The 26,401-nt window shown below is 35.5% G+C and overlaps 2 protein-coding genes across 18 annotated transcripts in view, besides 1 other annotated feature; one reads left to right on the top strand and one right to left on the bottom strand.

Annotated features, from left to right (window-relative positions):
- The window catches only part of LIPI (lipase I), a 102,144-nt gene extending 97,580 nt beyond the window's left edge, over positions 1-4,564 (bottom strand). For 7 of the 8 annotated variants that reach the window (NM_001379566.1, NM_001302999.2, NM_001379565.1 and 4 more), the window contains exon 1: positions 4,409-4,564. In NM_001379566.1, the coding sequence (NP_001366495.1) occupies positions 4,409-4,454 (46 nt within the window). In that variant the 5' untranslated portion in view covers positions 4,455-4,564. Of the gene's footprint in view, positions 1-423; positions 559-4,408 lie in introns of those variants that run through there. The other variant, NM_198996.4, reaches the window with a different exon arrangement.
- Positions 9,583-9,812: a silencer, noted in NCBI's record as "silent region_13213". NCBI's record gives its function as "represses an Ori minimal core promoter by ATAC-STARR-seq in GM12878 lymphoblastoid cells {active_cell/tissue: GM12878}" and the evidence as "EXISTENCE:reporter gene assay evidence [ECO:0000049][PMID:35858748]".
- RBM11 (RNA binding motif protein 11) lies at positions 9,766-21,981 on the top strand. 10 transcript variants are annotated; one of them, XM_005260997.6, is made up of 6 exons: positions 9,766-9,891; positions 13,172-13,334; positions 14,706-14,778; positions 18,047-18,146; positions 20,468-20,533; positions 20,660-21,782. In XM_005260997.6, exons 1-6 carry the CDS (start codon positions 9,796-9,798, stop codon positions 20,900-20,902), a joined length of 741 nt encoding a protein of 246 aa, XP_005261054.1. In that variant the 5' UTR covers positions 9,766-9,795; the 3' UTR covers positions 20,903-21,782. The 10 variants fall into 10 exon arrangements, 6 of the variants coding, with proteins under 6 accessions (XP_005261054.1, XP_016883876.1, NP_001307531.1 ...); NR_135311.2 differs by having other exon boundaries at positions 13,162-13,334; positions 20,468-21,981; NR_135310.2 differs by having other exon boundaries at positions 13,162-13,334; positions 20,489-21,981.
- The last annotated feature ends 4,420 nt before the right edge of the window (positions 21,982-26,401 follow it).

Here is a 26,401-nt window from a genome sequence, read left to right on the forward strand (position 1 = left end):
CTGCTGAGATAAGTTTGTCTTGCAATTTTCAGTGTTTTCATTATTGATTTTATGGTGTATAAAGATAACTTAGTTTGTAATCAAAATGAACAAAAGAACCACTAGTTTTGCTGACTCAAGAACAGAGAGCCTTAAAACTTAGCCATAAAAAGCTACAATCCTCACACATCTTAGAAAGATTTAACCCTTTTTTTTTCTGATAATCTAAACCCCCATTCTCATCCCAAAAATCCTACATGAAAACCTCCTTCATTCTCTTTCCTCATTTCTGGAAAAAAAACGGATTTGTTAACAACAACAATATTAACCACATGATAATAGTTTATATTCAGCTATCACTTCATGGCAAGCCCAGTGTTGTTTTATATTTCCTCTTCTTTTCTTCATTTTATATATGAAGAAAGTGAAGTTAAAAGAGATTACCTGATCTCAGGCACACAACTAGAAGCCACAGGACATTTCTGGGTGAGAACTGAAAAGCATGAGCACTATATTTTTGGCACAAGTTATTATGTAAACATTTGAGCAACATAAATAAGACCCTATCAGAAGTTCACTAGCTCTTTGTTTATTCATGTATAATAAGAAGGAAGACCCTTTTGGGCCAGCAGAATTCCAAGTACGAAACAATTGACCCACTTTATGCTACGAAGACAGTGGCTTCTATGGCCACAGAGCCAGTTAAGACACAACACTGTAGGTAAAATGTTAAAATCCCTGAATGCTAGTGGCAGAAAGCAAAATAAAAGGCAAATATAGCTTTAATTATGTAGTTGTGAAGCAATCAAAACACACATTTAGAAAGAATACAAAATTATAGCTAGATAGGAGAAATAAGTTCTAGTGTTCTACATCAGCGTAGAATGACTATAGTTAACAATAATACATAGTTTCAAATAGCTAGGAGGATATTGAGTGTTCCCAACATAAAGAAATGGTAACTGTTTGAGATATCAATACACTAATTACTTTGATATGATCACTATGCATTATATCTATCAAAATATTACTATGTACTCTAGAAATAATAGGCACAACTATGTCAATTAATTTTTTAATGAAAAAACAAGATAGTCAGCAACTCATTTATGCAAATGTTAGGAAAGCTGCTGAAAATGAATCTGACTACACAAGCAAAATAAAGTAGGTGTCTAACAAGTCTTTATACCAGGAATTCCCAAGAATGATCTTAAAAATGGATGTAAAAAAAAATGACTGGGTACATCAGAATTTTCAGAATGTAATTTCCTGGGGCCAACCCCAGAGATTCTGATTTGGTAGATATATCTGCATTTTTTTAAGTGGGTAACCCAGAGAATTCTCATATGGTAGTTCATGAAGCACACACGGAGAAGTTTTACATCTGGAAATTATCTAAAAGAATTAAAGAGAAAATGAACACGGAAAAAAACACAGTGGATTATTCTAACCTAATTTATATTGCTTTCTACGTGACCAAATCAACATTTATGTTACCTTCTTTGAGCTTCACAATAGAGTGAGATAGTATTACAGCTATTAACTGCATGTAGAGGGTTAAGTGACTTGGCACAAGATGACATGCCACCAGGACATGAATCTGGGTCTTTTAGTTCCAAATTTCATTTTCTTTCACATGATCCTTGTTTAAAGAGATTTTGGTACAATAAATTAAAATTCCTTGAGGGCATCTGATTTTAGTAAGTCAAGAAAAATTAATCGTGGATCATATCAGAAAAATACTGACACAATTTAGAGAAAAATAATGATTTTGTTGAGGCACTCAGCTCAGAATCCCATGGGTTCTGGAAAGATTACTGCCCTACAAACAGGCTTCTAAGGTTCTGTAACTTCCTATACCCTTATTACTCCAAGGTGGTCTGCGTACCCGTAGGCATCACCTGAGTGCTTAGTAGAATTGCTAATCTTGGGCTTCACCTCCAGCCTATGGATAAGAATTCGCATTTTTATCACATACTACAAGTTCTGTGACTTTACAAAAATAACTTCATTTTATTCTGTTTTTCACTTTCCTCAACTGTGAAATGAGAAAGCTGAATTATTCTACCTTTAACATCTCTTCCAAAGCACACAGGAGTGGGAAACTATGTCCTGTGGTCAAGTCTGGTTGGCAAGCTAAGAATGTTTTTTACATGTTTAAATGGTTGGGAAAAAATCAAAATTATAATATTTGGTGACATGAAAGTTACAACAAATTCAAATGTGAGTGTCCATAAATAAAGTTGTATTCGTGCACGTGCACATGCACATTTACTTGTTTATGCATTATCTACTGCTGCTTTCTTGCTTTGGTAACAAAGCTGAGTAGGTGCAAAAGAGACTGTATGGCCCACAAAACGTAAAATATTTACTATCTGGTCGTTTACAAAAATATTTCCTGGCTGGCTCAGTGGCTCATGCCTGTAATCCCAGCACTTTGGGAGGCTGAGAAGGGCAGATCACTTGAGCCCAAGAGTTGGAGACCAGCCTGGGTAACATAGTGAAACGCTGTCTCTCCAAAAATTACAAAATTAGCCAGGCGTGGTGGTGTGTGCCTGCAGCCCCAGCTACCCTGCAAGCTGAAGCCAGAGGATTTCTTGAACCTAGGAGGTCGAGGCTGTAGTGAGCCATGAACTTCACACTGTACTCCAGCCTGGGTGACAGAATGAGACCCTGTCCAAAGAAAAAAAGAATTTCTGACCCTTGCAATATAATAACAGCAACAACAAAAATTTCAGTGTAAATGGTTACAATAAGTTGGTAACTGTACTAAGAATAAATATGCATATATGCATATAATTTGAATATACAGATACATAGATGTACTGTATATCTGTATAAAGTTTTTTGATCTATCTCTCCTCTCCCATTTTATTCTACTTACAATTTTTAAAAACACCTGACTAAACTGCTTTTCGGAATGTCGTTTCTTTATTAAAGGCAGATTTAATCAATGATTTTCATGTTGACAACCATGAAACATGCCCTCCTTGAGGTATATATCAGAATCTCTAGTGGAGAAGAAAGGAGCATGTGTAATAAATAAAACACACTTGTATGAAATAAACTACTGGAAATCAACAAAATTTTTTAATCAAGTAGAGATTCAAGGAAAATGAGAGAATGCATAGAGTCTACATGGGTTAAAAATGAATTTGAGGATCAGTAAAATTTGTAATTCACTTATTTTCTATTTACTACTGTTAATATCTAAAAGTTCTACTATTGTATTTTAATCATCATTACACAAGAATTAGCAGACAGAAACATACAAAGCAATTATGTTTGAATTTTCCCAACTGAAAATTTAGGCAACTGACTAAATAAATACTAATCAAAACAATAATATCAGAAAGTCTGTCAAATAAGTTTTTAATGTAAACTATGATATTAAAATGATTATAACTGTATTAAAAATGACACATAAGATTAGGGGCCTAGACTTCAAATTTCTCTGGCTTTCAACTGAAGGTGCCACTATTTTACATTATAATAACATAAAATCCCTATCAAGAAACTTAAGAGTAATAATATAAATTATAAACTACATATCAGTATCATTTAGTTTCTATATTTAAATATAAAATTCAAACATTTCCAGAATTTATGGTTATCTCAAATAGCCAATTGAAAACATAAGAAATAATGGTAATTTCTAGTTAATTTTAAAGTTATTCAAGTATGCATTAACAAATTTCAAATAAATTTAAAACATAAAGGAAATAATCTGCTCTCATAAAACCCCTACAGAAAACTATCATCTTGAATTTTAAATTTGCCACTGTTATTACCATAAAGTAGAACTAATTGTTCTACTTATAAGTCGAACAAGTAATTCTACTTTCTCATAAAGTAGAAAACGATACTCTTAATATTGATAAACTTTATTACTGTACGCCAATAAACCAGAATAAAGTTCTACCTTATTACCATAAACCAGCTTTGTTTTTCGTCATACTGAATGAGAGCAAAAGTTGTAGTATCTGGTTATTTTGTTTGTTTTGCAATCGATAATTTATCCAAGTAAGAATTTTCTTCAAAAGTAGAGCTAGTTAAACAAATAAAATTGAAACAAGATATTTAAGGCATAATTTTAAATACCAAATTAATTTCTCCATTACTGAATTTTTTTCTCTTGAGTATTTCTATTTATTCTCTAGTTACATCTTTTTTTAAAAAAAGGTTTTCTAGTTACTAATTATCTGGCAAGGAAATAAAATGCAAAATGTCAACTTATTAAACAAACACATGCACACACACACGTACACACACAGAAGTTTTCTTAATAGTAATGTTTGTTATAATTAGTACCAATAATCTAACATATTTTTATCCCATTATATCATAACATTCTTTATCCCAGAATACAGACCACACTATTTTATATGCAATTTTTAAAGATAAATCAAATTATTAATTAATATCTTACCAGATCTCACCCAGCACATCAAACAAAGAAAAATGTATACTCTCATTTGGAATCTGAGAAAAGCAAAAACAGCACTCAATTCACCAAAAAGGAAATTCCGTAACTCATTGAGGTTTCTCTTTGGTAGGATCATCACAGGCTGGCAGGTTCTTCTGTAAAAGTTCACTGATTTTTGCTCCTCCCTCTTGGTTGAAAAGGTGAGGTAGTTTGTTTTCTCCCACTTTAGCTTGTGGTTGTGGGAAGGATTTTTAAGTCACAGGCTCTGTAATAAGTCACAAACAAACCTTCAGCTACACAAGTTGAATTTAAGGGAATGATAAATCTAATTACATCTTTCTGTATTCCTTTTAACCTCAGGATTTCAGAAGCGGTCAGGAAAATATGCAAATGTGATGTTAGAAAATGCTAGAAATGGAAAGAGTCAGAAAAAGTTGTGGTTTATATTCACTTTGACTACAAACTAAGATATCTTTATATACCATAAATCAATAATGAAAGCCATATCCATTAAGCTCTTTCAAGTATAAAAGATGAGCTTTTCATATTTATGTTATTTTACATCCCCAAAGCAGGGGCTATTTTAACATTCAAAATTTTGGCTCATCACTTGAGGCTAAAAGGTGAAAATTATAAAAAAAAAAGTATTTAATATGATGACCATTTTAAAATTAGCATACATTTTCTTTTTACATGTTTACTTAATTATCTTCTTTTCTTAGCAATGGACTTTAGTAAGCAAGAAAAATTGGGAGTTGTTCTAAGTACATAAATTGAAAGTTTAAAAATTAATTCATTTTTAAAAAATTCAAGTTTCTCTAAAGTTCCAAAAATACAGTAAGAACAGAAGTGTTTTTTGTATGTTATAAATCTGCAGAAACTAATCTGAGGTCTGGGGAAGTATTTGAGAAAATTCACAAACAAAATGAAGTATTAGTTTAAAAAAATCACAAACATTTAACTGCTGAGGAAGTTCCATCATTATTTTGAACTGTCTGATCTCTGGGTGTTTTACATGAGATTTCCATTTTTTAAAAAATACCACCACTACAATTTGTTTGAAGACCAAAAATAATCTAGGTCCTTCCACAGCACTTAGCTGTAAGAACTGCACCTCTCTAACAAAGATATAAATAAGCCACATCATTTCAGAATATGGGAAGAAAGATAATGTGTCATACATCCTAGAACAAATTTTTCCTAACAAATTTTACTTAATAAATTAAAATACAAATCTTTCCTCCTTCACTTATAATTTCCTTTTCTCTTTGTGCTTTCAATGTGGCATTATAATATGACTCTTGCACATTTACTTTCATCTTTATGAGTTCATACTGAAAAATACTGGCATATCAGGCAGTATAATATAGAGTTTCAAAATTAAAAATCATGCTTCTTCATTATCATGTATTTTGCCTACTGCCAATATGAGAAAGATGAGGTTATTAATGTTCATTGCATTAAATAGGAAAATATTGGGGGATGACAAAGTTACAAAATGCCAATAGTTTAGTAAGACAATCTATTTGAGCACTTGTTTAGTCCTCCTTGGATATAAAAAATGATTGTAAGTAGCTTACATACACACTTACAATGTAAACATTAACTCAAAGGGGATGTTCATGATGATGATGTGATGATGATGATGAAGATTTAAAATTTATTGAGCCCTATGTATCAGGCGTTCTTCAAGCACTTTACAAGTGAGTTAATTAGTGTTTGAGATGGAAAATCATTGTTTATCACAATATATTTTGTCACAACCTTTTATTAATTTGTCAATGTGTCAAAATGTTTAACAATCTTACCCTTTGACTCAGCAATTAAGCAACAAAGATACTTCCTACAGAAATCCAAGACACTTTCCTACAGACACATCCAAGGTCCTTTTATGTGGCAAATGGCCTACATGTGCACAAATATATGAGCAAAGACATTCATCTCACCATTCCAATAACAGTCAAAAAATGAAAGCAATATAAAATCTAACAATGAGAGATTAGTCTAATTAGGTATCTACTGTGGATTAAAACTAATGATACAGATTGATCAGTATTTATTGGTGTAAAAGGCCTTCATTACACCTTTTTCATTACAAAAAGTTTTAGAGGGCAGAGGGCAAGCTAAAAAACAGTATTATATAGCATGCTTTATTTTCCTAAAGTGTGATATATATAAATATATATATATATTTTCCTAAAGTGTGATATATATATATTTCAAAGTCTGGAAGGTTTTCCTCCAAAATAGTTATCTCTGCATGATAAATTTGTCAGTAATTTTTACTTTATTTCCTTAAATTTTAACAATATTTATTTATAATAAACATCTAATACACATAAAACAATTGAAAAACTGTATTTACTTGACAAAAATATGGTTCAGAAAAAATCAGAATAAAGACAAAATAAGTGTTTAAAAAAGTGAAGACAAAAATGAGTTCAATTTAAAAAAGCATCCAATAAAATCCCTTAATAGTAGTTGGCCAACCTCCTTTCCTTCCTTCCTTCCTTCCTTCCTTCCTTCCTTCCTTCCTTCCTTCTGTTTCAGTTGTTCATTCACTTATGCAACTTTTATTAAGTACCTATTGATTTCCAGGCACAGACTTTGTTGTTGGGGATACAAAGTAAAGACATTAATTTATTTAATCTGTATTCTTTCAATAGCTATTTATTATACACCTACAGGTGTGTCAAAGATTGTCTTAGGTACTGAAATATATTTACTCTATACTAGTTCCCAGTGAGAAGGACTTGACAGAAGTGTACCTAGGGAACTATGGAAGCACACAAGTGGAGTGGCCAGCTAATTTGGAAGGCAGAGTTCAGAGAAGCATTGCAGGACATGTTGCCTGGGCTTAACTACAAAAGAGAGTAAGAGTTGGCTGCACAGGGCCGGGCACAGTGGCTCACGCCTATAATCCCAGTACTTTGAGAGGCCAAGGCGGGTAGATCACCTGAGGTCAGGAGTTTGAGACCATCCTGGCCAACATGGTGAAACCCTGTCTCTACTAAAAGTACAAAAATTAGCCGGGCATGGTGGCACACACCTGTAATTCCAGCTACTCAGAGGCTGAGGCAGGAGAATTGCTTGAATCTGGGAGGCGGAGGTTGCAGTGAGCCGAGATTGGGCCATTGCACTCCAGCCTGGGCGACAAGAACAAAACTCCATCTCAAAAAAAAAAAAGTTGGCTGGGCAAAAGAAGATAAAGAAATGAGCTCTAATTATACATATATAGACATACAGAGGTATACATGTATATATACATATATTTTCATTTATTATATGTTCATTCAGCTAGGGACATCAGACATCCTGATATAAATGAAGAAAGGCTAGCTCTTTATAGAGTGTTACATGTATTTAACCCATTAAAACCTGATATATGACTAATGGTACAGTAAATACTGAAAGTGAAGTGAATTATTTTTAACCTACTACTAGATTTATTACCATGCATGCATTCAATATGAGTTAAGAAACAGAACATGCTTACATTAGAAAAATGATATATTGAGATCATATTCTGAAAAAATTGCTAACTACAGAAGCTGACTTTCAGAGTTTATAATATTAACTAAGTATTCTAGAATTATAAGCACTATAAACTTATGTACGGCCAGAAGAGGATATTATAACACCAAAATTATGCACATTTGTAGACAAAGAAGGATGCAAATTTCAATAGAACAATATAATATGAACATTAATTACAAGTGTAGTTAAAGGTTTGTAGCATACGCACTCATATACATGCAATGGTTTAAACTGAAACCTGAAGATACAGCTTGCATATAAGAAGTGTCTGAGGGGAATTCAAGGAGGAAATATGTTGCTTTGATGAGATTTATGAAGTAAATGAATACAAATAAATCAAGAGGTCTACACATAACAGAGACTTGCAAGTATCCATTCATTTGATCAACATATATTTATTTGCCTACAATATGAGTGTTTCCTTAACTCCTTCTTACTGTACCGCAACTCTACTGATGATAGAGGAAAGAAAAAGGAAAAAAAAAAATGGAGACAGGACTTATATCAGTTGAAGGTAACTACTGAAGTTACTAGCATTTATATTATATTTGTGAGGGTAGAAAGGCTGTCTCTCCCAAAGTATAAGCTTTAGGAGGTCAGACTTTTATATTTCCCTTTGTTTTCCAAGAATTAAGCATTCAGAAAATACCTATTAAATGAAGTAACTATATTTAGTCCAATCCATTCCTTAAGAAACAGAATCCGAATTCCAAAGAGAAATTACTTGTTCAAAGTAATAAAACTATGTAATGTCAGAGATCAATTAGAAATTAGGATTTCCTAAAATGTGTACCTTTTCATTAGAAAAGATGACTTTTTTTGGTCCATCAACCAGATAAAAGCATGCTTCCTCAATTCAAAATGAAATTTTATCACGATGCCAAACTAAAGGTCAAATAATGTTCTGATCACCTATATGATATTCATGAGATGATCTCAAGGTCCTATGTAGACGTATGGTAGCTTCAGAAAGGAAGCCAAGTTAACAGTTGACAGCTGATTTATCAAAGTATTGAGATTCTAAGTTTTCTTTCTCCTTTCTTGTAATTTTATTGTTCATAAGACTTTTATTAAAAACAAAAATTATCCCCAAGAAAGAACTAAGCCTTTAGCCTGGTACACCATATACAAAGTATAGCCCTGAAACAAAGTACAGCCGTTGGATCCTGACACAAACCCTAGCTGCCATCCTCAAAAATTCTGGCTTAGACACAAAACTGGCTCACTCTCACCAGTATATCCCTTGGTATTTGCTTTCTCAAGTTCCTTTTGGAGTCCACTTAAAACCTCTGCGACCAGTTTCAAAAACTCATCTAGGGAGCACTTTCTAGGAAAATAAACTTTAATTCTAGTTTTCTGTTGTATCCACATCCATGCAAACATCGATTCTTTCAAAAATTATTTATAGTTTAATATCTTCATGATTTGTTCATTTATTCTTTGGACCCAAAGAAATGTATCTCCCCGCATTTGCCTGGGAGCTTCTGCAATGAAGTTACCACAATTTAAATCATCTCTACAGTGACTTTATTTAAAATGTTGATTGAATAAATCCAAAATCAATTAATGTGCCAGAAAAAAAGGAAGCCACCCCACTAGCTAAAGAGTAAAGCCCTTTCTGCATTCATCTTTCTTACTCTCACCCACTCTCCCACCGCCCAGCCCTACGCCAGGCGAGGGAGCAGTGCGGTGGGCGGTACCCCAAGTCCGCTGGGGGCGTGGCCCTGGAGCCATGCCTCGCCCCCAGCGCGCGCTCCCGGCGCCGGCCCCGCCCCCTCACCCAGGCGGCGCCGTAAAGCCGGAGAAGGGGCGGGGTCTCAGCTCCTACTTCATTCTACGGCCGAGACCGGAGGATGTTCCCTGCTCAGGAGGAGGCCGACAGGACCGTGTTTGTTGGGAATTTAGAGGCCCGAGTTCGGGAAGAGATTCTGTACGAGCTGTTCCTTCAGGTACCGTCTCTGGGAAGGGGCGGCGGAGGGGCGGAGCACGTCGGGCCGGAAACATAGCGCGCACCTGGACCACCCGGAGCCCGGCCCCCTTCCGTCCCATCCTGAGCAGGGGTTTTAATTTCGTTTCCTCTTGGCGCACCTGTCTCCAGGTGAGCGGCTGGGGAGTGAAATGAGGGCGCGTTCCCCATCCCCATCCGCGCTGCAGAGTCCTGGGGTTGGGCAGGGACGTGGTTCCTTCAACCCCCGTTTCTGATTAAGGGCTTCCCAGAGGCTGCCTGGGCCTCGGGTGTGCGCGGGCAGAACCGAAAACAGCCTGGTCACTGTTCTCCGTCAAGTAGTAAGCACGCCTGACATCCCCCAAAAGGAGAGGGGTCGCTTTTATAATGTTTCCTTTTACACCTTGCTCCTTCCTTCAAGCCCTTTTATGCGGACAGTATTTTTATTCCAGCATGAAAAGTGAGATTTGAGATGATTTGGCAGCCAACTTACCGTGACTGTGACCAGGTGATTCCCTGGACAAGGCCCTTTAATTCATACCAAGAGGACCTTCGGAAACTTTGAGATCTGGTACCTCTAGGATTAAGCCTGCTGTGTCCTGTATACACGCTCACTTATCGTATTGTCCTATACAGCTAGGTATCACTTGCCAAAAAGATACACTCATTCAGCCATTCCCCTAACCGTGTAATGATCCGGAATTACGGGGCAAATACTGAGGGTGCTGGGAAAACAAATTGACGAGACATCCTTTTATCTTCCTAACAGGGAGAACTTAAAATTACAATGTTTACGATAATCTATAAAAAGAGAAGGGACATAGATAGAAAAGTGGTTCCGCGTGCGAACTCTGAGGTCAGCAGTGTGACTCTGAGCCTGTCAATGAATTCCTCAGTGCTTCAGTTTCCTTATATGTCAAAAGAGAGTAGTAGTATCTGCAGTATAATGTGGCTATCGGAATATGTGGCCTAATGGTAAAATGGCTACAGCTGAGTCTAGCACTCGCTGTTTGCTACCGCTACTACTGCTAATGGTACTGCTGTTATTATTAGTAATAATACTAACATCAAGAGAAATCAATAGTTACTTTCTCCTATCAGAATAAGGGAAAGTTCCGAGGGAGGCAATTACAGAACTAAATTTTCAGGATTGAATGGGTCAAAGGGGTCCTTTATTTGGTTGTGAAAGGACTTACTTTTGTCTCGAAACTTAACTAAAGCAACCCTCTTTTAATTGTAGATACAATTTGGTAGAGAGGGTTCTTTCCAGGAATACAGTTTCCTTTCCTGGACGTAAAACTTTTTTATTATTTGAAAAATATTATTGATTTTAAGACTTTTAGGTTCATCCTTTTAATTCATCTTTTTAAACTTGCCTCCTTTTTTATGAACTCTAATCCATATCTGTTTTTTCATTCAGTATCATTTAAAACTTACTATATTAAGTTAAAAAAAACAACAACAAAAACCGAAAGAAATATAAAGTAAACTTAGAGTTATTTTTCTCCAGAAGACTTCTTTCACTTTGAGCCTCCAAAAAAAGGAGAGTGGAAGACTGGGGTGGGATTGCATTATCCAATAACCATTATTTTTAGTCAATCAGGACTCGATCAATATCAGTTGTGTGGATCCACAAGACTATATATTATCTTCTCATTCTTTATCAGTTCCTTCTTCCACCTAAGCAAAATATAAATTTTATTTAATAGATCAGGTAAGAAGCATAAGTTCTTATTTTTGTCTAGGTATTGAAAGGAATTGCCAAAGTGGAGTTTCTCTTCCACTTTAGACTTCAACACCCAGCAAAACTTGACAACTATCACACTATGTATTTCATTGTGATTTAAAAAATACTGTAAGATAGTGTGATTGTTGCTAAAAGTAAGTCTTCATGTTGACTTTTATCTTTACAAATGCTTTGAATATCTAAATTTATGTCAAAATTCAAATCACGTAAGCATGTTCTGTCCCATAGTGATTACATCTATTTAATATCTGTATAAAAATCACCAATTTTATTGGTTTTTATATTACAGTATATTTATCCTTTTACTATTTTCTTTCAAATTTCTGATTATACTTGGAAATGAGAAAATCAGATTTATTATCATTACACTTTTAATACTAGAGTTGAGATTTAGAGAAAATATGGTGAATTCAGTTTCAAATATGTTGAGATTGAAGTACAAAAACATAGACATCTCCAGGAGGTGTCTCCATGAAAGAGACATGGTGGGAAAAGTAAATTTGTTGATGAGGTGGTCCTTGAAGCCAGAAGGGAAGGGAAGCTAGTCCCTGGGAGAGCACAGAGAATGAAAGGAAAAGACTAAATCTTAACACACAGAATTATTTTAAAGATGATCATTAATATTTTTCTTTAGAGTAAAAGCAATTTTTTTATTTATGCAACTCTACAGGGAAAAATAATCAGTTATTAAAGTCTGAACCATTCAGCATTAAATCAGTTGTTTGTGTTTGTAAGTGCCTCCTCCAATCATTATCATGGCTGTGATGTAATTTTTCGTTAGTTGTAATTAACAATCTTCTATGATATTTGGCTCTGTGTTTTTAAATCTTCATTGCATATTATAGGTTTTTCTATCAATATAATCTGAATATTTATAATTTATATTTTATTCCGTTTTAGTAACACACCATGGAATAATATCTCCAGTTGTTAGATTTAGAGCCTCTCTAATTTCTCACACTTATAAACAATGCAATATACTTAAAAGTCTTGAACATATTTAAACATTTTTCCTTTGGAAATTTACCAGATGGAGTTTCCAAATCAAAATGCATGATAAATTTATTTATTCTTGAAAAGATATTTAATCTTCATGACAGAAAATTTAAACTATGATATAACATCGCCAGCTTTTTTGAGGATAACTCAACCAGCATTGAATTTCTCATTTCAGTTATTTTTTGAATTCAACACTGTGAATGTGTATGGAGACAAAGTAGTATTTTAATCTTAGATTTATATGTTTTCTAAATTGGTTTGTTAAGCCTAACAGAAGGATAGTCTACCATTTCTTTTACAGTTTGAAACTAATACCTAGAATTTCCTGTTCTTAACACCATGTATGTTTCCCCAATGAGCCAGAAAATACAAAGAAAGTGTGAGGAAGTGTAATATTTATTATTAGAAAGATACATTATTAGCAGAGCTACATAAAGATATTGCTAACACATTTCTTTAGTCTAAAGTTGAATTTACTTATTTGAGTATAAAAAAAATCTTTGGATTTATGAGAAAATAATTTTTAAGTTTCTTATAGGCGGGGCCACTAACCAAAGTGACTATATGCAAAGACAGAGAAGGAAAGCCAAAGTCTTTTGGATTTGTCTGCTTTAAACACCCAGAATCGGTGTCTTATGCCATAGCTTTGCTGAATGGAATTCGTTTATATGGAAGACCAATTAACGTGCAGTATCGATTTGGTAGGTCCTGTCACTGATTAATCTTCAAAGTGTTTTGTGGTTGGTACTATTCTCAGAGTTGTAAGCAATTTGTTTCCTATGTAGTATAAGACCAAAACAAAAAAAAGTACCTTCTACCTTCTGGTCATTGTTAAATTTTCTCAGAACACGTGTCTAATTCATAATGTTATATAGTTAATTAGTCTTGACAAACCTATAGCATCTTTTCTAAAAATAAAATGTAAGATAATCGTTTTAGTATCAGCCAGCAAGTAGCTATGATGGTTGCTATTGGCCCTTATAAATTGAGCAAATCTAAATGAACTGGGGTCACACAACTGTAACATTTATATAGCAAGGGTATTTACTAATCTTGTTACTGCTGATGTATGGTACTGAATCTGTACTATTTGGAAGATAGAGAGAGGGCATTTAGTCCTTCTGGGGAAATCTTTCTATACATGTTGCACAGGATTTTAGCCCCTGTAAGAGCAAAGTGGTGAAAGGCAACGTAGAGTTACCCTTAGTAGTGGCGGAAAAAACTTCCTGACAAGAATGGCCTCAACAACTTCTCCTGCACGCATATCAGGAACAGATCATTCATGATTAGCTGCCAAGAGAATGTTATACCATTACTCTAGCTCTTTCATGTTTCAGGAGACTAATAGAGGCCATCTGGTAATTCTTGCAATATGTACGCAGCCTCCTCTAAGTGGTCAGGCTTATTGGTCTGTCACTTGTCGGTTTTTAAATTCCTCTTGCTATACTAAAAGCAAACAAATACTAATAACAAAAACAATGCTTTATTGCAAAGCAAAAGTGCGTCTCTTTGCATTTCTTTTTTTCTTCCTTTCTTTTGTAATACATGGTTGCATCATGCTCTCTGGTACTTTCTGGTTAACTTACACAACCTGGTATTAGGTTAGTGCAAAAGTAATTGCGGTTTTGCCATTACTTTTAATGTCTGTAGAATAGGCCAGGGTATATTATGTTCTGGCACATCATGTATAAGATTGAATTGGCTTTTGTCCATGAGGGTTAAACTCCTGCCTTGTACACTGGAAACAAATAACACTTGTTTATTTGCCATTTTTAGTTTACAGGTGTCTGGAACAAACCATCATGTATCTTACAAAGTCCAACGTCAATGTCATTCTTATTTACAGTCATTGATTTAGACAAAGGTTGATTTTAATTCATTGATATATATATAGTACTGTAAACAATCTATAAATATGATTTGAGAGGTCAGATATGCATATATCTTCTCTGAGTACAGAATTTTAAAATCACTACTACGTCCTAAAATATTTTGAGTCATTTTATGGTTTAATATTACAACTCAAAAAAAAATGTACCATGAAGTAACCTGTTACTCTGTTTCTTTCAAAGGGAGTTCTCGCTCTTCTGAACCAGCTAACCAAAGTTTTGAGAGCTGTGTTAAGATAAATTCACACAACTACAGGTAATTTTAAAAATATTTCTCATCAAAGGTAAAGCAAATATATTTTTATGCCAAGAGGAGTTTTTATATATTTTGGGCTATTGTAAAACCTTACTTTTTAGGCCTAGGATAAAATTAAGGAATATCTTTTTTTTCCGAGCCCATGAAAAGTGATAGAAAATATTTTCATTTAAAATTCAGTCTTAATATTTTCAGTAGTAGGGGGTAGAGACTTATATTTGTAGTTTTTTATAGTTTTCTACATGCTTTTCATAGCTGTTAAATCATTTAAGCATACAAGGTTTCATCATGGATCACAGGGATACTGTTATTTATATTTTATATTTGAGTCAATGGAGTTGCAAAAGTTAACCAGTTCTTAAGGTCACAGGATGATAAAGTGCTAGCTTTGAAACTAAGCCTTCTGACATTAAGCCATTGAATTAATTATTTTACTTTTTGAAATAACTTCTCTGTGTTAATTTTCAAACTCATCTAGAATTTTGTATAGCCTGATTTATTGATGCAATGGTAGCCTCCACATACACTCTCTGGCAGGCTATCCCAGAGGTCATGAAACTAAAAGGCTCCCACACCAAATGAAAATGTTCAAATTACAGCTTTTGTTACATCCATTTTAAAAACAGTGAAAAGCAAGAAGAAAGATATTGGATAGCTTAGCACACTTAGGAAAAGCTGCAAGTAGGCAGAAGGACGAACTAGCTGAATTCTGGTTACACTAATAAACACGTGCCCTGTTTCTCTCTGCTGTATCAGCCTCCCCTGCTGACTGCAGTACTTCTGCAGCCTCTCTAAGTGGTTCAGGCTTTTTGATGTATCACTTGTTGGTTTTTAAATTTCTCTTGCTATACTGAAAACAAATATGAATAACAAAAACAATCCGTTCTTGCAAAGGGAAAGTGCTTCTCTTTGCATTCTCTTTGCATTTCTTCTTTTTTTTAATGTTTGGCTTCATCATGCTCTCTGGTACTGTCTGGTTAACTTACACAGGCTGATAGAATAGGTCAGGGTATATTATGTTCTGATATATCATATAGATGTATGATATAGATAGAGATCTATATCTATATATAGAGGAGAGGAATAGATATACTCTATTCAGAGTAGACATATAGATCTATGTATCTCTATATAGATACTTATATATAGAGAGAGAAGTATAGCTCTACTAGCTACATTTCTAATGTTTATCATAGTAACAGTATGAGTGTCATCCATACTGCTTTTTTTCTTGTCTTCTTTAGCAGAGCTGAATATTCTCAAGTAAACTAACAATAGCTGACCCTCCTATCCCTTTTAGTTATATCAACCCTCTGAACATTGGAGAGTGGCCCCTCGGGACTGTCAAATAGCCAGGTTTATCTTTCAGAGCATTATTGCACCCCAGATAAAACAGTGTGCTCCTCATCTTCATTCACCCAACATTTCTACATCAGTGAAATGAGAAGTTAGGAAAGGAGGTGGTGAAATTAGATTGCCTGAATTTGCATGTTAGCTCTGCCACTTTATTAACGTCAATTAACAGTTTATTAACAGTCAGTTAACACTATTAATAAAGTAGCAGAGGCAAGATGCAAATTCAGACAAGAACTGGATATGTTATTTTACCACTCTGTTCCCTATCTCTAAAATGAGGATAAAACTTTGAAAGGTTACTGTGAGAATTGAATTTTATAATTAACACAAGGTGCTTAAAATACTGAGCATACAATGTTCCGCAAATGTTAGCATAAAGGGGGGGAAGCACTATCTAGACTCATGTGTCGAGCCATGTGTATAATGTAAGAACTCCTTTTTTCTACTAGTACCAAGTGGGAAAAGGTATCTCTTCTTCCTCAGGAGTTAGGAAGGAACAAGCTATTGGTAAGATTTAGACGGAAGAGAAAAGACTAGATGGGCACTAGAATATAGCAGTCAAACTCTGGTATTTTCTAGTTATGTTTGATACACTGACCCTAAGTCATCACAAATTCTAGAGTAGACAGCCTGAGTTATGTGTATATTTTGGATATGACATTTCATTGATAATACTTTATTCTTCTAGTATTTCTGATATTATAAAGAAAGCATATAAAATGGGTTATCATGTCCCCAAAGTGATTTGCAGAGAAAAATGGTGCTTATTTAACAATCTAGTCTTTGCTCTCCCTTGGAAATGGATTTTTATGCTTCTTGTTGTTTCTTGTACCTTCTGCTTTTAATGAATATTCCCTGTGTTAGTTTGCTAGGGCTGCTATAACAAAGTACCGCAAACAGAGTACTTAAGCAATAGCTATTCATTGTCTCATAGTTCTGAAGGCTAGACATCCAAGATAAAGGTGTCAGCAGCATTGTTTCTTTATGAGAGCTATCAGAAATAATCTGTTTCATGCTTCTGGTGGTTTGATGTCAATCTTTGGTATTTTTCAGCCTGTAGAAGCATTACCAAGATCTCCACCTTTATCTTCACATGGTGTTCTTCCTGTGGGTAACCATACTGTAGTTTGAATGTGTCCCTCAAAAGTTCATATGTTGAAATTTTGGTCCCCAGTGCAGCAGTGTTGAGATGTGGGACCTTTGGGAGGTGATTGGGTCATGAAGGCTATGCCCTCATGTATATTTTAATTCATTAATGGATTATTGGATTAATTGGTTATTGAGGAAGTGGGTTTGTTATCACAAGTAGATCTGTTGTAAAAGCCAGTTTGGCCATCTCTCGTGAGCTCCTCCTGCCTGTGATGACTTCTGCCATGTTATAACATAGTAGAGCTCACCAGAAGCTAACCATAACCACCTTCACCAGAAGCCACCTGATCTTGGACTCTCCAGCCTGAAGAACCATGAGCCGAAATACATCTCTTTTCTTCATAACAAACAGAGTACCTGTTTGTTATATAATACCAGTTTGTTATAACAAACAGGTATTGTGTTATAACAACAGAAAATGGACTAAAACAGTCTGTCTTCAAATTTCCCCTTTTTAATCAGGATACCACTCATATTGTATTAGGCACCCATCCTGTTCCAATATGACCTCATCTTAACTAATGATATCTGCAGTGACCCTTTTTCCAAATAAGGTAACATTCTGAGATACTGGGATTTAGGACTTTAACAGCTGAATTTTGGGGAGACATGTCAGCCCATCACACTTCTGAATTTACATGTGATTCCTCTATGCAGACAACTTTGCATCCCCTGAGGAAAGATAGTGGTTTTTCTTAAGAGAAAATGACATTTGTAATAGGAATTTTAAGATTTTATTACTTCTTCTTTCATCTCCTCAAAGGAATGAAGAAATGTTGGTGGGCAGATCTTCCTTTCCCATGCAGTATTTTCCAATTAATAATACTTCTTTACCTCAAGAATATTTTCTCTTTCAGAAGATGGTAAGTTTAATATGCATTTTATTTAGTATATAATATGATACAAACTATGAAGAACATAAAGGCTATTTGTAACATATGGTGCCCAAATCTAAACTGGGATGAAGGCACAAGATGTCCCAGCACTGTCCTCCAGTGGTGTCCTGGCCTAACACCATCATCCTAAATTTCAGTTCTAATGCCTTAGCAAATGGCCAGGGTGTCAACAGAAAAGGGATGGACGGCAGTGACGACATACTGCAGTCCAAGTGAAATTTGAGTAGAGAGTTCTAATGTAAATGACTATTTTAAAAGACGTTTGCAGTGGCCAGACATGGTGGTTCACACCTATAATCACAGCATTTTGGGAGGCCAGGGCAGGATCAATTGAGGTCAAGAGGTCGAGACCAGCCTGGCCAACACAGTGAAACCCTCTCCATCATAAAAATAGAAAAAATTAACTGGGCATGGTGGTGCACACCCGTAACCCCAGCTACTCGGGAGGCTGAGGCATGATTGCTTGAACCTAGAAGGTGGAGGTCGCAGTGAGCCAAGATTGTGCTCCAGCCTGGCCAATAGAGCAAGACTCTGTCTCAAAAGAAAAAAAAAAGATGTTTGCAGAATTGCATAATTTGAATAATTTCACTTAGTGAAGTATTTTTATATAATGTCATCAATCCCAAATAGATTGCTTTTGGACATGGATTTTTAAAGTAAATTTCTCCTTTTAATTAAAGACAAAACTATCCTTCTTGAGTATATACTTAGTCCTTCATGCACACATCACAGGGGAAGGATATCATAGCAATGAAGATTCTCAATTGGTCGAGTAAACTAAATTATTTCCAGAGACTACCAAAAATTGGTTTTGACCCAGAAATCTTAATTATGGACTTCATTGTTAAAGGTGAACTCATTTTTTTTTAATTCCTCATAAATAAGAAATTGAAGTCCAGGGTTGTTAATCTACAGTCCCAAGATTTTCAGCTTGTTAGTGACAGGTGTAGGACTAACCCAGGTCTTCTGATTCACAGACTATTATTTTTGCAAATACCCAACGTATATGTGAGCTTTAGATTTGTTAAATATCCATTTTCAATTTTTAAACAGAAATTTTCCTGTAAATTGATACTTTTTAACTTTTGCTAAAAAAAAAACCCTTTTCTTAACTATGGTAAAACATTAGTAAACAATCAGTTCTCGTCTGAAACTATAAATGTCTTCATCGAAGCATTTTTTATCTTTTGGTAGAGATGGGGTAGGAGAGAGACACAAGTTCATGGTATCTCTATTAATCTTTAATCTTTGAATAGTTAGAAATTTGAGTTAAGAGCTTGTTTGTTTTTAAAGGAAGCATCTCTCTAAACAGTAAATAACTATGCTATAAAATATGGGGGCAATTTGCCACATATGCACCTAGGAAGCTGAGTTTTAAAATTTTATTTAATTTTAATTAATTTAAATTAAAATTTAAAACCGATACTTGGTTCGGTTTTCAGAAAACTTTTAAGTATATTTGAAACAACTTGGCCATGTGAGTATATTTTTTTCAACTCTAAATTTGATGTAATCTAAATTCAGATCAGGTATTTTCAATAAAAATTTAGCATTCAGATTGAGATATGCCATGAGTATAAAATACACCTCATATTTTGAAGACTTCACTTGAAGAAAAAGTAAAATATCTCATTAATTTTATATCATTTACATATTAAAGTTATAACATTTTAAATGGATATATTGGGATAAATAAAATACATTGTTTAATTTCACTGTTTCTTTCTACTTTTGTATTGCAGTTACTAGATTTAAAACTACATGTGGGCTGGGTGCGGTGGCTCACACCTGTAATCCCAGAGCTTTAGGAGGCTGAGGCGGGTGGGTCACCTGAGGTCAGGAGATCGAGACCAGCCTGACCAATATGGTGAAACGCTGTCTCTACTAAAAATACAAAAATTAGCTGGGTGTGGTGGCGTGTGCCTGTAGTCCCAGCTTCTTGGGAGGCCGAGACAGGAGAATTGCTTGAACCCAGGAGGCGCAGGTTGCAGTGAGCCAAGATTTGCCCCACTGCACTCCAGCATGGGCAACAAAGTGAGACCCTGTCTCAAAAAAAAAAAAAAAACAAACAAAAACTATTTCCATTGGATAGCACTAATCTATATTGTAGTGAGCTATACACAGCCTCAACTCTTTATATTGACCCTTTAATGAAACACCTACCTTTCTACTATGAGAGGTCACTGTCTTTCTTATACCAAAACACAGTTTAGTTTACTCATGGCTATTGTATAATACATGTAAACTGTTAATTTTTTTTCCTTAACCTTTTGGATTTGTTTTGGTAGATGAATGTCTTGTTTTCACAGCAGTGGCATGTGTATAATCCAGTGCTGCAGCTTCCTTACTATGAAATGACAGCTCCACTTCCTAATAGTGCATCCGTGTCTTCCTCACTGAATCATGTTCCAGATCTTGAGGCTGGACCCAGCTCATATAAATGGACTCACCAACAACCAAGTGACTCTGACCTTTATCAGATGACAGCTCCACTTCCTAATAGTGCATCCGTGTCTTCCTCACTGAATCATGTTCCAGATCTTGAGGCTGGACCCAGCTCATATAAATGGACTCACCAACAACCAAGTGACTCTGACCTTTATCAGATGAATAAACGAAAGAGACAAAAGCAAACAAGTGATAGTGATAGTAGCACAGACAACAACAGAGGCAACGAATGTAGCCAAAAGTTCCGAAAGTCTAAGAAGAAGAAAAGATACTAGTATTACCTACAAATGAAACTTACCTACACTGATCTTAGTTCTCTTATGAAAAAAATAAGATGTTATCCCATCAAATAAACAATGTCATGGCTATCTTGTCTTTTGAAATATGTAGTAATAAGACTTATCTCTGGTTTGCTGTTCAATTTTTGCCTTGAACGACAAAAGCTTTCTAAAAATAGTATAATGTACCACTTTTTGTATTTGTCATGATATTTTTGACCCATTGGCAACAAATAGACTATTGTCATTTTATTAGTACCAATGATGAAATTTCACCAAACTATTAATCAAAAGTCACTTATTGAACACATTGATAAAGCATCATGTTCCCTTTGATTATCCCCTATAACCAACACTCAACTACAAATAGGCTGGGATTCAATGTGGAGTGGTGGATTTCCTGAAAGAAAGTAGTGCAGATATTTAAGGATTGCATATTGTTCCTAATGAGGATGTAATAAACAGGCATTAGTACCCCTTTCTTTTAGTACCTAAATATGTTGTTTCTGAGCCATATTCTTCTTCAGGTTTATTTTATAAAGTGAGGACATATGATAATGATACCAAAGGAAAGATAATTATCATGAAACCAACTTTTGGATCATTCCCTTTTTATACAATTGTGTATTTATAGGGATACCTTCCTCTTCTCACATATTAATTGTATGTCATTAAAATCAGTTGGCTATGTCAGTGTGTATTATTCACCTCTTTTGCTAGCAAGGTTTGAGATGCTATATTAACATTTAAATCATGAAAATGAGCAAGTAAATAGAATAATATTTTATTAATGTATGATATGTAATACTTATTGTCTAAATCAAGTTTCCTATTTTTGGTTTATTTATTTTAGAAGAAAAATAAAATTATTTGGGCATTTTTGTTTATAGCTCATTACAAACTAGAGTGATGAATATATATATTTACTAAAGCTAATTGAAAGAGTCATGCAACTCAGTTGGGAATTAACCACTCAATTCAATAGTAAAAGCCATGCTTGGATGTTTCTTTTGCATGTTGCCTAGCATTTTATAGATATTTATTATTTAAAAAAATAAAGATATGTTTTTAATGAAGAGAGTAACTGAATTTTAATCTTGGTTACAAATATATAATATAGTGAAGTTTGAAACATAAATATTAGTTTATTTCTATCTAATCAAAATGAAAAACTAAATTTTGCTTTATGTAGCTGATATGGTTTGGGTCTGTGTCCCCACCCAAATCTGACCTTGAGTTGTAATCCCCATTATTCCCACATGTCAAGGGCAGGACCAGGTAGAGGTAATTGGATCATGGGGGCAGTTTCCCCCATGCTGTTCTTGCGATAATGAGTGAGTCTCATGAGATCTCATGGTTTCATAAGCATCTGGCATTTCCCCTGCTGGCACTCACTTCATCCTGCTGCCTTGTGAAGAAGGTGCCTGCTTCTCCTTTGCCTTCTACCATGATTATATGTTTCCTGAAGGCCTCCCCAGCAGTGCAGAATTGTGAGTCAATTAAACCTATTTCCTTTGTTAATTACCCAGTATCAGGTATTTATTCATACCAAATACAGTTATTTGGTACCAGGAGTGGGACACTGCTGTAAGGTTCCCAGAAAATGGGGAAGAGACTTTGGAACTGGGTAACAGGCAGAGGTTGAAACAGTTTGAAAGGCTCAGAAGAAGACAGGAAAATGTGGGAAAGTTTGGAACTCCTTAGAGACTTGGAGGGCTCAGGAGACAGGAAGATGTGGGAAGGTTTGGAGCTTCATAGAGACTTGTGGCATAGCTTTGATCACAATGCTGATAGTGATATGGACAATGAAGTGCAGGCTGAGGTGGTCTCAGGCGGAGATGAGGAACTTGTTGGAAACTGGAGTAAAGGTCACTCTTCTTGTGCTGTAGCAAAGAGACTGGTGACGTTTTGTCCATGTCCTCTATAGATAGAGATCTGTGGAATTTTGAACTTGAGAGAGATGACTTATAGTATCTGGTGGAAGAAATTTCTAAGCAGTAAAGCATTCTAAGAGGTGACTTGGGTGCTCTTAAAAGCATTCAGTTTTATGCATTCACAAAGATATGGTTTGGAATTGTTTAAAAGGGAAGCAGAGCATAACAGTTTGGAACATTTGCAGCCTGAGGATGAGACAGAAAAGAAAAACCCATTTCTGAAGAGAAATTCAAGTCAACTGCACAAATTTGCATAAGTAATGAGCCAAATGTTAATCACCATGACAATGGGAAAATGTCTGCAAGGATGTCAGAGGTCTTTATGGCAGCCCCTCCCATCAAAGGCCCAGAGGCCTAGGAGGAAAAAATGGTTTCATGGGCCAGGTCCAGGGCCTTGCTGCTTTGTGCAGTTTCAGGACTTGGTGCCCTGCATTCCAGCTGTGGTTAAAAGGGACAAACATACAGCTCAGGCCATTGCTTCAGAGGCTGCAAGACCCAAGGCCTGGCAGCTTCCATGTGTTGTTGAGCGTGTGGGTGCACAGAAGTCAAGAATTGAGGTGTGGGGACCTCCTCCTAGATTTCAGAGGATGTGTGGAAACACCTGGATGTCCAGGCAGAAGTTTACTGCAGGGGCAGAGCCCTCATGGAGAATCTCTGCTAGGGCACTGCAGAAGGGAAATGTGGGGTTGGAGCCCCACAAAAGTCTTCACTGGGACCTTGCCTAGTGGAACTATGGAAGAGGGCTACTGTCCTTCAAACCCCAGAATGGTAGGTCCACCGACAGCTTGCACCATGCACCTGAAAAGCTGCAGACACTCAACACCAGCCTGTGAAAGCAGCCAGGAGGGGGGCTGTATCCTGAAAAGCCACAGGGGCAGAGCTGCCCAAGGCCATGGGAGCCCACCTCTTGCATCAGCATGACTTGGATGTGAGACTTGGAGTCAAAGCAGATCATTTTGGAACTTTAAGGTTTAATGACTGCCCCTATTGGATTTCAGACCTGCATGGGTCCTGTAGCCTCTTTATTTTGGCCAATTTCTCTCATTTGGAATGGGCATATTTACCCAATGCCTGTATCCTCATTGTATCTAGGAAGTAACTAAGTTGCTTTTGATTTTACAGGCTCATAGGTGAAAGGGTCTTGCTTTGTCTCAGATGAGACTTTGGACTTGGACTTTGGGTTAATGCTGGAATGAGTTAAGACTTTGGGGGACTGTTGGAAGGGCATGGTTGTGTTCTGAAATGTGAGGATGTGAAATTTGGGAGGTCCAAGGGCGGAATGATATGGTCTGGGTCTGTGTCCCCATCCAAATCTCACCTTGAATTGTAATCCCCATTATCCCCACATATCAAGGGCAGGACCAGGTGGAGGTAATTGGATCATGGGGATGGTTTCCCCCATGCTGTTCTCATGATAATGAGTGAGTCTCAGGAGATCTGATGGTTTTTTAAGCGTCTGGCATTTCCCTGCTGGTATTCACTTCATCCTGCTGCCTTGTGAAGAAGGTGCCTGCTTCTTCTTTGCCTTCCACCATGATCATAAGTTTCCTGAGGCCTCCCCAGCAGGGCAGAACTGTGAGTCAATTAAACCTCTTTCTTTTATAAATTACCCAGTCTCAGGCATTTCTTCATAGCAGCATAAGAACAGACTAATACAGTAGCTTTATCTATAATTCATGTTTTTGAAAATTTAAACTGGAAAATACAAGATTTTTTTCTTTTAAAATTCACATTTTTGCAACTTGGAATCATGCCAAAGGGAAAAATATGTTTCTGAGTAATTAGAAAGTAATAGATCTTTAAACAACTTATTAACTTCCACTCAGCCTTTCCTTTAGTTCTGAAGTTTACCTTAGCCCTAAATTATTTCATTGTGATTGGCATTTTAGGAAATATGTATTAAGGAATGTCTCTTAGGAGATAAGGATAACATATGTCTAAGAAAATTATATTGAAATATTATTACATGAACTAAAATGTTAGAACTGAAAAAAAATTATTGTAACTCCTTCCAGCGTAGGCAGGAGTATCTAGATACCAACTTTAACAACTCAACTTTAACAACTTCGAACCAACCAGATGGCTAGGAGATTCACCTATTTAGCATGATATCTTTTATTGATAAAAAAATATAAAACTTCCATTAAATTTTTAAGCTACTACAATCCTATTAAATTTTAACTTACCAGTGTTCTCAATGCTACATAATTTAAAATCATTGAAATCTTCTGATTTTAACTCCTCAGTCTTGAAATCTACTTATTTTTAGTTACATATATATCCAATCTACTGCCGCTAGTAGAAGAAGCTTGGAATTTGAGAAAAAAATCAGACGTTTTGTATATTCTCATATTCACTAATTTATTTTTTAAATGAGTTTCTGCAATGCATCAAGCAGTGGCAAAACAGGAGAAAAATTAAAATTGGTTGAAAAGATATGTGTGCCAAACAATCCCTTGAAATTTGATGAAGTGACTAATCCTGAGTTATTGTTTCAAATGTGTACCTGTTTATACAAGGGTATCACCTTTGAAATCTCAACATTAAATGAAATTTTATAAGCAATTTGTTGTAACATGATTATTATAAAATTCTGATATAACATTTTTTATTACCTGTTTAGAGTTTAAAGAGAGAAAAGGAGTTAAGAATAATTACATTTTCATTAGCATTGTCCGGGTGCAAAAACTTCTAACACTATCTTCAAATCTTTTTCTCCATTGCCTTCTGAACATACCCACTTGGGTATCTCATTAGCACTGCAAATTCAACATTTTCGATTGCTAATTTTTCTCCCTAAATATTTATTTGTTTTCTCAGCTTTAGCCAATGTTTCACTATTGACCATTTGCTCAAGTATAGTGACGCTTCAATGACCTTCAGAGAGCTGTTTCAGTCCTTCCTGGACTACTTGCATGCTTCCAACAAAATGAAGCACTCTTGATGTCAGTCACTCAAATAAATGGAAATGGGCCCATTTACTAGGAATGTTAACAGAATAAAAAGATAGACGTGACACCAGTTGCTTCAGTCCATCTCCATTTACTTGCTTAAGGCCTGGCCATATTTCTCACAGTTGATATGGCGCAGGGCACATGTTTAAATGGCTGTTCTTGTAGGATGGTTTGACTGTTGGATTCCTCATCTTCCCTCTCCTTAGGAAGGAAGGTTACAGTAGTACTGTTGGCTCCTGGAATATAGATTCATAAAGAACTAATGGAGTATCATCTCCCACTGCTCTTGTGTGTGGTCAAAGTTCAGATCCTTTACAGTTTCCACATTCTACCTCTATTTCTACTCATCCTAGTAAAGCCAGTTACTTCAGAAATTAGTCTGTCTCTCATTAATTAACTCCTCATTAAGAAAAGTCAACTAATAGCCTGGGCTTGATTTGGGGGAAAATGAGCACTAATATATAAATCTCTGGAAATCTTATTTTACTTTACAAAACTCAAAAAGCTTTTTTTTTTTTTTTTAACAAAGGATACTATTTGCTTCCACACCTCAAGCCCAGGTGAGTTCAGTGAGTACGGTTTCTCCAATTTGCCCTGAGATTTGCTGA

The sequence above is a fragment of the Homo sapiens genome, chromosome 21, assembly GCF_000001405.40.
Source record: "Homo sapiens chromosome 21, GRCh38.p14 Primary Assembly".
Taxonomy (NCBI): domain Eukaryota; kingdom Metazoa; phylum Chordata; class Mammalia; order Primates; family Hominidae; genus Homo; species Homo sapiens.